We start from the raw sequence: 11,351 nt of genomic DNA, 5'->3' as shown, positions 1-11,351 counted from the left end.
GAATTCTAGTTCAGCCACTCTTCAGCTCTGTTACCTAGGGTCGGGGGAGGTCCCTGTAGTCTGAATGACCTTGTATGACAGATGCATCTGAATGTGTGCTCCCAGCTATGGAATCCAGGAGTGGCCAATCCAGAGATTTATTCCTTGTCTATGAGTAACATCTGAGCTCCCAGCCCATCCCGTGGGACACGGGCCATACAGAGGATTGAGGCCCGGAGCCTTAATGGACATTGCGAGGTGGAGGTCATTAAGGGGAGGGTGTTAGTGAAAATGCTGTATAAACTGCATGATGTTTGCAAGCAGCTTTGGTTCTCCTACCCATCCTGCTGCCACCAGACCATACAGATATCTTGTCCAGCCCACTGTCATTGACTCTCTCCCCTGCATGTGATCCCCTAATAAAACCCCAAGTCTCGTTTTCTGGCTCTGGGTCTCTTCTTCAGCCTCTTGAACCTAATGCCTTCCCTACAGAGGTTAATAGGCATTCGTCAAAACAGCCTCCTCCTCCCTGAAGTTCAGTTCACCCTCACCTGTAATCACTAATACTATCAATGACCTTGAAAGATTGTTGTGAGGATTAAAAATAACATATAAAACTTTTCTTGGCCCAAATTAGTTATTCAATAAAGGGTAACTATGACCTACCATGATTTTTATGCATGCAGCCTTTAACTCAACCAACCCAGTGCTAGGACTTTAACTTATGGGTATATGTCTAAAAGTTCACCAAGTTGTTCATTTGAGGATATTCATAGCAATAAAATGTGTAATACCAAAAAATAAATAAGTAGGATGTGTCCATCAATCAGACGGCAAATAAACAAATTATGCAAATATACCTATTTGTATATTTGCATTTTATAACCATTGACAGGTTTTTAAAAATTGATTTATCAAAATTGAGATTGTAGCCTATCCTTTTATTTGTTTAACCTCTCCATACTTCTCTGTATTAAAGGTGAGTTCAAAAAATGCTATTCTTCATCCAAGAATTTTATATTGTGTATCTATTGGTTAAAATAAGTAAACATTGATGATGATGAGGCTGATGATGAAGGTGGCGATGGGTCACATTCAGAGGATACAGGAATCCTGGGATGTCTTTTGGGGAAAAATGACCAATAAGGATGAGGCTCTGCAGATGGATTTTCTCTGGCCAGTCCTTTTTCCTGACCACATCCGCTCCACTTGATGAATGACTTGGTCCTTCTTGAGATCTTCAATAAAAATAGCTCTCTGACCCTTGTTTTTGTTTTTCTCCATTTGACAGCAGAGAACTAGGAGAAAGGAGAGTTTGCTATTCTCACCATATCTCAAAACAGTTAACTGAAAGCTCAGCTGGACGTCACTAGGGTTTAGTCTCAAGACATAAGCCTGACTTCTCAGTTTTCAGTGTGGGTTTCTCAGCAGTTGGGTTTGAGAGTGGTAAGACTCTAGAATCCCCAACCAGATGATCTGTCCCGCCTAACAGAAAAAGGTGATGCTGCCCTTATATATAAAGCTCAGATCTTTGAGGTGTCTGTTTTGTTCAGAATATTTCTTTTCTAACCACCTTTAAAATGAAATATGTATTCTTCAGACATACAGGCCAGTGCTAACCAAATATTTTCATCATACAGATTAAAACCTCTAGAATATTGAGCCAACACTAGTCCCAAAATGCAGGATTTCTGGTCTAGGAAACAAATTTATGAGTAGGTCCTCATATTGTTTGGTCCCCTTCTCACCTGTGAACACCCGGCACATACACACATTGAATGTCATACTATTTCCTCTGGTTTCAGGGCCCCATTACAACATCCTGTCACACCTGATTTCTTCTGAAGTGTGTCAAGCTCTGCATAACTTCTCCCTCTTCCCCCAATACCCCATACCTCTCAAAGCCTCCTACCCTTACACAAACTCGAATTTCTCCCTCCTCATATAAATGTCAGAAGGCAAGTAAGCTGACTAGCTCATTTCATTTACAGTGTGACTGACCTATGGCCTGATACTTTTCTCAAGGGAAGTGAAGGTTTTCACAGGGGCATTTCATACAAATCTTTACCCTGCTGAGATTACAAATCCTCTGTGTTTCCTTTCCTCTTGCCTAACCCAGCAGAGAATTAGATGTTAGCCCAAAATCTGTTGTAGGAGGGGTCCTGAAGGGGTCCTAGGATCTCAGTTTATGGAGAAGGCAGCCTCTTAACCCTAGCCTGTTCTGGGATCTCAACTCCTTTCTACTTTAAGTATCACGTGTTCTTTAGTCCCTTTATGCCTTCATTTCCCCATAGCCCAGAGCCCATAGGTTCTTATCCTCTCTCATTCATTTCCATTCAAGCATGCATTCACAGGCATTCTCCTGCTTGGTATTAACCCACTTGCCATACTTTCTCTTTCTAGTGGCTGCTTGGTTATCTGGGCTGATAACTGAAGGACTCATTTTTTATGACCATGGGCCTTTCTGATGCCAATCTTTTATGTATAACCATGCATCCCTGGGTTTGGGGAATACAGTATAGAGAAAAGTAACTAGTAAGTAAGCTAAGCGCACCATTCATGAAATCATCACTGCTGCCTGTGCAAGAGTTCCTGACATGTCCTGGGTGTACTCTGGGCAGCCAACACTTTCCTCCTGCCTCTGCCACTCTCTACCTTGAAGAGTCTTCCTGCAAGGACCTCTGCCTCCTGGCTGTCCTGCCGCTCCACTAGTTACTTTGTTGTGTTTCTATGGATCACAGTCTAGAAGTGGAGTCCTTCTTCCACTAGTGCTTAAAGGACTTTATTATTCCAAAGTGTGAGACAGTTGGGCCCAGTCAGTGGCTTGGAGCTGCCAATGGAACCACTTTTTCATTTGAGTAAAATTTTTATCTTTTTAGTTTCCCTTACCATTGGAACATAGCACATGTCCTCCAAACTAGGAGATATTGTGGAATGCTGGCTGTGCAAACTATCACCAAAGCAACCTGTTGATAAGTCAAAGCTAAGTTTATTGCCTACGGGAGTAAAGAAAAATACTGCTCCTCAGAGTCTTGGAAGCAACTTGAAAGGAGAGGGCTGAGAAGGCATGTTTATTAAGATTGTAAGATCTGGTTTTAGGTAGGTCTTTCAATGCGGGCGTATGGTTAGGTTTGAGCAAGGATCATGATATTATAATTTAGGATTGCTGGAAAAAAAAACAAGGCAGAATTTTGAGGCAAGAGGTTTCAAGAGTCTTAGGGTGTAAAATGTCATTTGATGTTTTATCTTAAAGAGTAGATAGGTCTTTCAGGTAGTCCTGCTAAAGTCAATGAAGTTATCTGTAACTTTTTTCTCTCTGGCGAGAGTTGCCTGGAATAATAAAGTTACTTTGATGAAAGCAGTAGAATAAAGTCATGTGTAGACAGAAGCCTGTGTAGAAGGTTTGATTCTCAATAGTAAGAACACCCAATAATGCTGTCCTTAATTACATCCCAACATTCTGATCCCATACAGCCAGCCCATGCTTTCTGCAGAATCTACAGACCTAAAAGTTTCAGCCCTTCTTCTTCCCTCATAGTGGGTCCTTCCCCATCCAAGTCTCTGCATGTGAAGTGGCCTTGTTGTCTAGGGTGACATCCAAGGTTTGTTGTCTCACAGCCAAGGAGACCAAGGACGCAGACACACAAAGAGTGAGGTTAAGAGCAGAAGTTTAATAGGTGAATGAAAGAGAATAGCTCTTTGCTACAGCGAGGGGTCCCAGAAAAATGAATTGCCTATCTGCAGTGAAATGCAGGGAGTTTTATAGATGAGCTGGTGGGGAGGCGGTGTCTGATCTACATAGAATGCGAAAAACTGGTTAGGACCAGGTATGCCATTTGCGTAGGGTGCGAATCTCTGGCCATCTCCACCCCAGTCTTTTATTATGCAGGTGGGTTTTCAGCCTGAGCTGCACCATGTTGCCCACAGTACACATGCTAACAAAAAAGGGAAGATGGAGCTTCCATGGTGGACATGCCTGGCCCCCAGGTAGCCCTTTTCTATTGGCGCAGTTGCCAGCGTTCCCCTGTGCAAGCTCCCAGCTTCGTTGTTTATGCTTGCAGCTCAATCTTTCAGGCTGCTCTTTGTTAGAAAAAAAAATTATTTCTGGGGCTGCTTTTTGTTAGAAGGGAAGTTCTGCTAAGGAATCTTTTGCCCTCACTATCTGCCTAAATATTTTCTTTCTATCTCCTGTATCACATGGAAAGCAAAGGGTTCCTGTCTTCATTCCCAGCTCAGCCACCCACTGTCTCTCCTTGAAGCTCATTAAGATCTCATGCAAACAGATTTCCTTCCAGCCTTTGGACAGGCCCTGACATGCCTGAACCCATACGCAATAGGCATGCAGCATAGTCCCTTGCTCTATGGCTTTTCCAGACACTTGAAGATTTTGTGTAAGGAGCAGAAGGTGAAATTTGGGCACCTTCTAAAGTGGCACTAGGGTTTAAAGGACCACAGAAAATAATCAACTTTCATTACTTTCATTACCAAAGGAAATGGGACAGAGATGGCTAGATATTTACCAACAGTTTTACTCCCCCTTTCCTAATACAGAGGGTCCTCAGCTTACAATGGTTCAACCTACAATTTTACAACTTTACAATAATGCAAAAGCAATACAGATTCAGTAGACACCATACTTCAAGTGCCCATACAGCCATTCTGTTTTTCACTTGCGGTATGGCATTCAATAAATTACATGAGATATTCAACACTTCATCATAAAATAGGCTTTGTGTTTGATGATTTTGCCCAACTGAAGGCTAATATAAGTATTCTGAGCATGTTTGAGGTAGGCTAGCCTAAGCTATGTTGTTTGGTAGGTTAGGTGTAGAAAATGCGTTTCAATTTATGATATTTTTAACTTACAATGGGTTTATTGGGACAGAGCCACATTGTAGGTTGAAGAGCATCTGAAGAGAGTTACTGCTGATAACTGGCTGCCCAGCCAGAGACCATGTTTCCCAGCTTTGTTTGCTTCTAAGTGTGGCCATGTGGCTTGTTCTCACAATTGGAATATGTGCAGAAATGTGCCTTCTAGATCGGAACTTCCTATTCTCTTTCCATTCTGCCCACTTGATGCAGATAACGTAAGATCCAAGGGATGGCAGGTAAGACAGAAGAAGTCTGTGTCTCAGGATCACCCAGGGAAATGCCACTTGCCAAGTAAAAACTGAGGAAGAAATAAAGTTCTATTACGTTAACCATGAAAAACTGGTCTATTTGTTACAACAGCTAACATAAGAAGTAAAATGATCATAACAGTCCCCTAAGGAAGAAAAATGTCCATCATTGTTTTGAACTGAAGAATCACACCCAGTGAAAAACACCAGGTTCAGGCTTTGGGTAACCTTGATGAAGAACCAGAACAAATCAATTTGGCTTTCAGCACATTAATAAAGTGGCAGGTATGTATAGAATGTGTCATTAGCTGATCGTATTTTGAGAACCAGTTTGCTTCTCAGGATAGGTTTGGGCAGCTGTGAATAGGCTTATAGTTTTCATTGTTTCCCTGCTCATAGCAATACACTGAAATTATTCTGATTTGCCTACTTAAGACGGAAAGAAAGATAGGAGCAAAGTTACATTGGAACCAGAATTACCTCAATACCTAGGTCATTTTTTCCTAAAGATGGGTTTGCTGCAAAATCAGGGGAATAATCTCCCTCCCAGGGCCCTTCTAAATAGTACCCTCATGGCCTAGAAGAACTAATGTCCTTGCTACACAAGAGCCTTTGCAACAGAGGAGCCCTAACTGCCAGGGCCGATCTTGGAATTTTGCCTCCCTCAGTCAGGTGTTCAAGTTGAATCAAAGAAAAGAAATAGAAAATGCCCTCCATGAGTAGGCTAAAGCCTTCTTCTGCCTTATGTTTCTATCACGTTCTGGAGAAGGACTCAATGTTGATCCAAGTACAGAAACCATGTCAGGTTGCTTGGATAACAACTGTAAACGGGTTTAATTGTGCTGGTTTGGGGTGGGCCCCAGCCCGGGAGCATTGCTTCTCTGTGTACATCAACACTGAGTAGTGTGCATTCTAACTCTTTCACCACAACCATATGATCCATGCTAAGGCATTTGACCACCTTCTCCACCTGCTCTGCCATTTTCTGTAAAACAAGATTATTAAATTTAATGGAGGAAAGGTAGTTTATAGATGTAAAATGATGACAGACTGTAAATATGAGGGGAATATAGAGCAATCTATATGAACACTACATAAACGCTAATTAGCCCTAAGGCTGCGATGTTTCTTCCTACCACACGGCAAAAGAACACAATGGATTTTTAAAAAATCTTTAAAAAATTTTCCTTTCCCAGTAAAACCTTTACATGGAAAATAAATGTAGCATTTGGCTCAGGCATCTTGAGTACAAAAGGATTCCACAGGCAAAATAATGTGAGAAGAAGCTATCCGGCTCATACTTGCTCATTCATTAGTCAGAGCATGAGAGCTCTCTGGAAACTGGTTTTGTCACATTCTTATGTGAGGAAGTCACATGGGCTCCTGCAGCACATTTTCCTGTGTGAGTCCTAGCTTTGATGGAGGTATTTGTGGGCAAGGCCTAATGAGAGGGTTGACTTTTTCAGGTTTAGATGGGAGTGAGGAGAGAAGCTAGCTTCAGGGACTGAAGGGACGGGAGGCCTTAGACAGACTTAGCGCTAGGTGCTATTTTCAGATAGGAGCTCCTCTACCTTACTGACGTGATAAATGCCAGGGAAAATAAGATCCTCATGGAAGAAGCCTAGTTGAACAATCAAATACAGCAGGGAATACTCATTAAAGTGCTTCTCCTTACAGCCACCTCCACTCAGTTATTTATGCCCTTTAACTTCCAGGTAATGGTTCAGATTTTACTACTTGAGGAGCACAGGGAATGTCTTTGTGTTTTATTATTTCTCATGAGATTTAAAAATAAATAAATATGTATATACACCTAAATTTGCTTTTGGTTCAAGTGTACTTTTTTGTCTTAAAGTTTCTTAAAGAGCCTTAGACCAGTGGAAGACCTATGAATCAGAGAGAGATCTCACCTTGCACAGACTTTGTGGTATTCTTCCCACTTTTCCTGAGCCATGGAGTCCTCCCCTCTCCTCCTGAGCCTCAGAGTCCTCCCCTCCCTTCCTGAGCTGTGGTGAAGAGCCGCTCAGGTGCTCCTACTGCACATCTTTCCTGCTCTCCAAGAGTGGCAGCCATGCACTGAGAAAAAGTGTCTGTTCCTGCAGTTTGTTTCAATTTGATAGAGTCTCACTGAAGCTATCTTGAACAAACGTGATTTTTTGTGGGGTTACATGGAGGAACAAAAAAATAAATGGGCTCCTTTGCTTCATCTAAGAACAGAAGCTATAACAGAACTAGGTCTTAAAAGCACCTGCCTTCAGGGATGCTCAGTGGACCCCATACGTAGGGATTAGCGGACCTTCACTCCCAAAGCTCCAAGAACTGCCAAAACCCATGTTAGGTCGTGTCATTCCTCTGTTCAGAATGCTCTGGTGGCCCCGCATCTCACCCAGAGTAAAAGGCAAAATCCCCCCCATGACTCACAGGCCCTGTGTGATCCTCCTCCCCCTGCCCTGCCCCATCTACTGCCTCCTCCTCAGCCACCCTGCCTTGGCCATGCTGCTCACCTTGTAGTCCTTTCACACTCCAGGAATACTCTTGTCTCCAGGGTTTTGCACATGCTGTTCCCTGTGCCTGGAATGCTTGTCCCAGATATCTGCTTATCACTTCATGTAGGTCTTTTTTCACAGGTCAGCTCAGTGAGGCCTTCCCACTCAGTGAGATCTAAAATTGTAAGCCCACACTACCGTAACATCTCTTATCCAACTTACCTGCATTCTTGTTTAAATTTTTTATTATAAGAAATGGTAAGTATACTCAAAAATAGTAAAATGAGCCCCTATCTATCCATCACCAATCAGTTGTCTAAGTTTTACCACTCTTGTTTCATTTATTCTCCCTCCATTTTTTTCTATATTACTTCTAATTTGCCCCAAGGATTTATCACTACCTGATATATATTTCTTACTTTTCTTTGTTATTTTGTCTCCCCCACTAAAATGCCAGCTCCATGAGGCCTGGGATTTTTGTCTACTTTGTTCACTGCTGTATCCCCTGTAGGCAGCAGTGTGCCTGACACATAGTAGGTGTTCATGAATAGTGGCTGAATGAATGAATGAAGCAATGAAGCAGTTACTCCACAATGGCACCTGTGTTTTTCCCTACAATCTCCCCACCATCTGACCAACACAGCCATGAATGCTTCAAGCACCCCTACTCTGATTCCACCCAACGACTGTCAGCTACAGCACCCACATATCCCCCTCCTTGACTCTCAATAGTCCAGGGACACATACACAAAAGGCAAAGCTAGATTGGCCCAGCTCTGTGGGTGCCCTGTCACAGGACTCTGGCAAGTCTGTGAACTACTACCTTCCCTGAGGTCTTCTGGCCACCACTGGTTATGTAATACAAAAGTGAGCAACCAACTGGGGCCACAGGGGACATTTCCCTTTGAAAGGGGCATGAGCGATTGACATCGACATCTTTCTTTCACCAGGCAAATTTGTTAGCAAATTTGATGAGACTGTTAAGTGGGTAGGTAACTCTCTGGGCAGCCTCTATTCATTGCAGCCTCTATTCATTCTCTGGGCAGCCTCTATTCATTGCAGCCATCCTTGCATTTACTGTGCATCTCATTGAACAGGTATTTTTTTTTTTTTTTTTTTGCCAGGCTCCACCTGTGAGGGAGGGAAGAATGCACAAGGAAGAGCTTACCTGGTTTCAATTTCTTTCTTTCACCATTTTCAAGGTTGTCAACCAGGAAAGTCCTTCAGGCATCAGACACTCTCCAATTAAGCCTTCCATAAAAACCAGGAGACATTACCAGCTAGGATGACAAGTTAGAAACCTGCAGGACCAGTACTATGCCAGCACCCCAATGATGGCAACTAGGATTGCTTCGCAGCTGCTCCCTGCCAATAGTGCTTCCTGTCTACCTGTCAAAGGGGTGTGTCTTCCTCCCTGGCCAAGTCCTGTGTAAACCAAGTAATGATCAGGCAAGAAGAGATCCAAAAAAACCCATTGCCACATCAAAGCATATTCCAGGGCTGTTGCATTCTTTTCAATAAAGACTATTTATTTTTACAGAGGCTGGGTGCCCCTCACAGCCCTGCTCCACCTGGCAGCCATTTATGACAATTTTAAAGGCCATCTTGTTTTCAAAGTCACTTTATAAGGTTGTGGAGACTCAGTATCTGTGAATTCTAATCCTGGTTCAAAATATTAAATTGGTACTAGGTCCTCTGCTGGTTGCTGGATCTTTTATCAGTGAGCATATTGACCAAGACATCATATGGGTATGTCCTTTTCTCTAGATTCTTTCAAGAATGGATTACAAGGCCAGGCACGGTGGCTCATGCCTGTAATCTCAGCACTTTGGGAGGCTGAGGAGGGCAGATCATGAGGTCAGGAGTTCGAGACCAGCCTGACCAACACGGTGAAACCCCGTATCTACTAAAAATACAAATATCAGCCAGGCATGGTGGCACGTGCCTGTAATCCCAGATACTCAGAAGTCTGAGGCAGCAGAATTGCTTGAACCCGGGAGGCAGAGGTCACAGTGAGCCGAGATCATGCCATTGCACTCCAGCCTGGGTGACAGAGTGAGACTCCACCAAAAAAAAAAAAAAAAAAGAAAACAAAAAACAACAGTGGATTGCTATTCATCTGGTATTGTCTGGATTTAACCAGGCTATGTTTAAAGTATTGAAATACTTCTGTACCATTTCGTAAATAGCCAGTGCCCCCAAGTACCCCCACTCTGAATCTTTCGCCATCTCAGCTACCTCAATCCTTCTCTCAAGACCCTCGAATCTAAAGGTTTAATGCTAGCAGGAACTACAGGTGCCCATTATGATTGGTCAGCACTTGTATTATACCAGTTGCTAATATTATGACTATCACCCCTACTTCTAAGCTAAAGTCAATGGCAACAACTAGTCCTCATTTTAGACAATGTCACTGCTCCTAATTTATAGAGAAAGGGATGCAGTAAGATTGGGATTAGACCAAGGTCCAAATCCCAGACAGCTGCAGGACAGCTGGAAACAGAATTAATCATTCAAGTAGTGATGCTATAAGTGTTTTCCTCTGCTTTGGATGTCTCTCCAATAGAACGCTATCCACAAGGACAGGAATTTTTGTCTGGTGTGTCCACTGCTGCATCAACACTCAGAACACGCTTGGCACACAGAAATTGCTCAATAAATCAATACAGCTCTTGAATGAATGCATGAATTCCCTGATCTGATGGCCCAGTTGTTGCCTAACTTGATAGACCTGAGAGAATCTAAAGCTCTTCAGGGTTTCTCAGTCTGACATTTTTTTCTTAACTATTTAATTTCTTTATACCTCAAGACATAGAGGCAAGCACGTCATCACACATAACCCCTGCAGAAGTCTCCAGCACACAGTGATGTGATGGTTGCAGCCTTCCCCTGGGGCCTATCAGGCATTTTAGTTTCTCCAAGAGACACTGATTTCCATTTCCAAAAATTAGCCTCACACACGACATCATTTTGATCAATTCAGCAGAAACTGCTCTAGGATCTCAGCCAGCACTGGTGAAACAAAGAGAGGAGAGCAGCACTCTGAAATCACGGCTCTGTCTCAGCCACATCATGTGTGACTTCTTGTCCCGAGGAGCTCCAGGGTCATGGAACAGTGTCCGGGGCCAGGAAGAAATGCTGGCGGCCAGCCTTTGACCACTGGAATAAGGAAGCTCACATTTTTTAGTCTCTCAGGAAGGGCCACTTATGGAGAGGGGAAAAGTGTTCAGGTTTGGTTCTCCAAGGCACCCCTTATCCCTTACCTGCCATCAAGCTGTGCTCACCGGGGACGTGTTTCCTGTCATCAAGATCTCTGTCAGTGAGGAGTGAGGATTGAATAGCAAAGGTATGAAGTCTCTGAAGGAAAACTTGGAACATGTGACATTTGAAAATCAGCTTTCTTCACTGTTTACAAGACTATAGGGAGAAGTGTCAGCCCACGAACACGCATCCCATGCAAATCCACATTTTTCTCTTGACTTTAGTTCGGGGACCAAGGTGGCTTCCAACACCATTCTAAAATGAGACCCATTCTCCACAGAGCCTATGTTCTAAGATGAATTTTATCTGTCTATATCGATTCTAATCACAACACATATGGTAAGTGACACAACTTACTGTGCCTCACAATTACACTTTGTTTTTAACCCCTTTCATCCCAGCATTGTCACGCAGTTTGCTAACTTTAATTAATACTCCCTCACAAAGTAGGGAGTATCATTATCCCCGTGTAAAGTCCTGAGAAACCGAGTCACCCAAAGGCACA

The 11,351-nt window shown here is 43.0% G+C and overlaps 1 long non-coding RNA gene across 2 annotated transcripts; it reads right to left on the bottom strand.

Moving 5' to 3' along the window:
* Nucleotides 1-899: 899 nt before the first annotated feature.
* LOC105377947 (uncharacterized) lies at nucleotides 900-10,945 on the bottom strand. Of its 2 annotated transcripts, XR_001744296.2 has the most exons (4): nucleotides 10,849-10,945; nucleotides 8,754-8,836; nucleotides 7,604-7,760; nucleotides 4,763-5,149 (listed from the first exon to the last, which is right to left on the bottom strand). It is a non-coding gene; the product is annotated as an uncharacterized LOC105377947 (long non-coding RNA). The 2 variants fall into 2 exon arrangements; XR_007059710.1 differs by lacking the exons at nucleotides 4,763-5,149; nucleotides 7,604-7,760 and adding an exon at nucleotides 900-1,277.
* Between the last annotated feature and the right edge of the window lie 406 nt (nucleotides 10,946-11,351).

Source organism: Homo sapiens, chromosome 6 (assembly GCF_000001405.40).
Source record: "Homo sapiens chromosome 6, GRCh38.p14 Primary Assembly".
NCBI lineage: Eukaryota > Metazoa > Chordata > Mammalia > Primates > Hominidae > Homo > Homo sapiens.
This window is presented reverse-complemented; position numbering and strand designations above follow the sequence as displayed.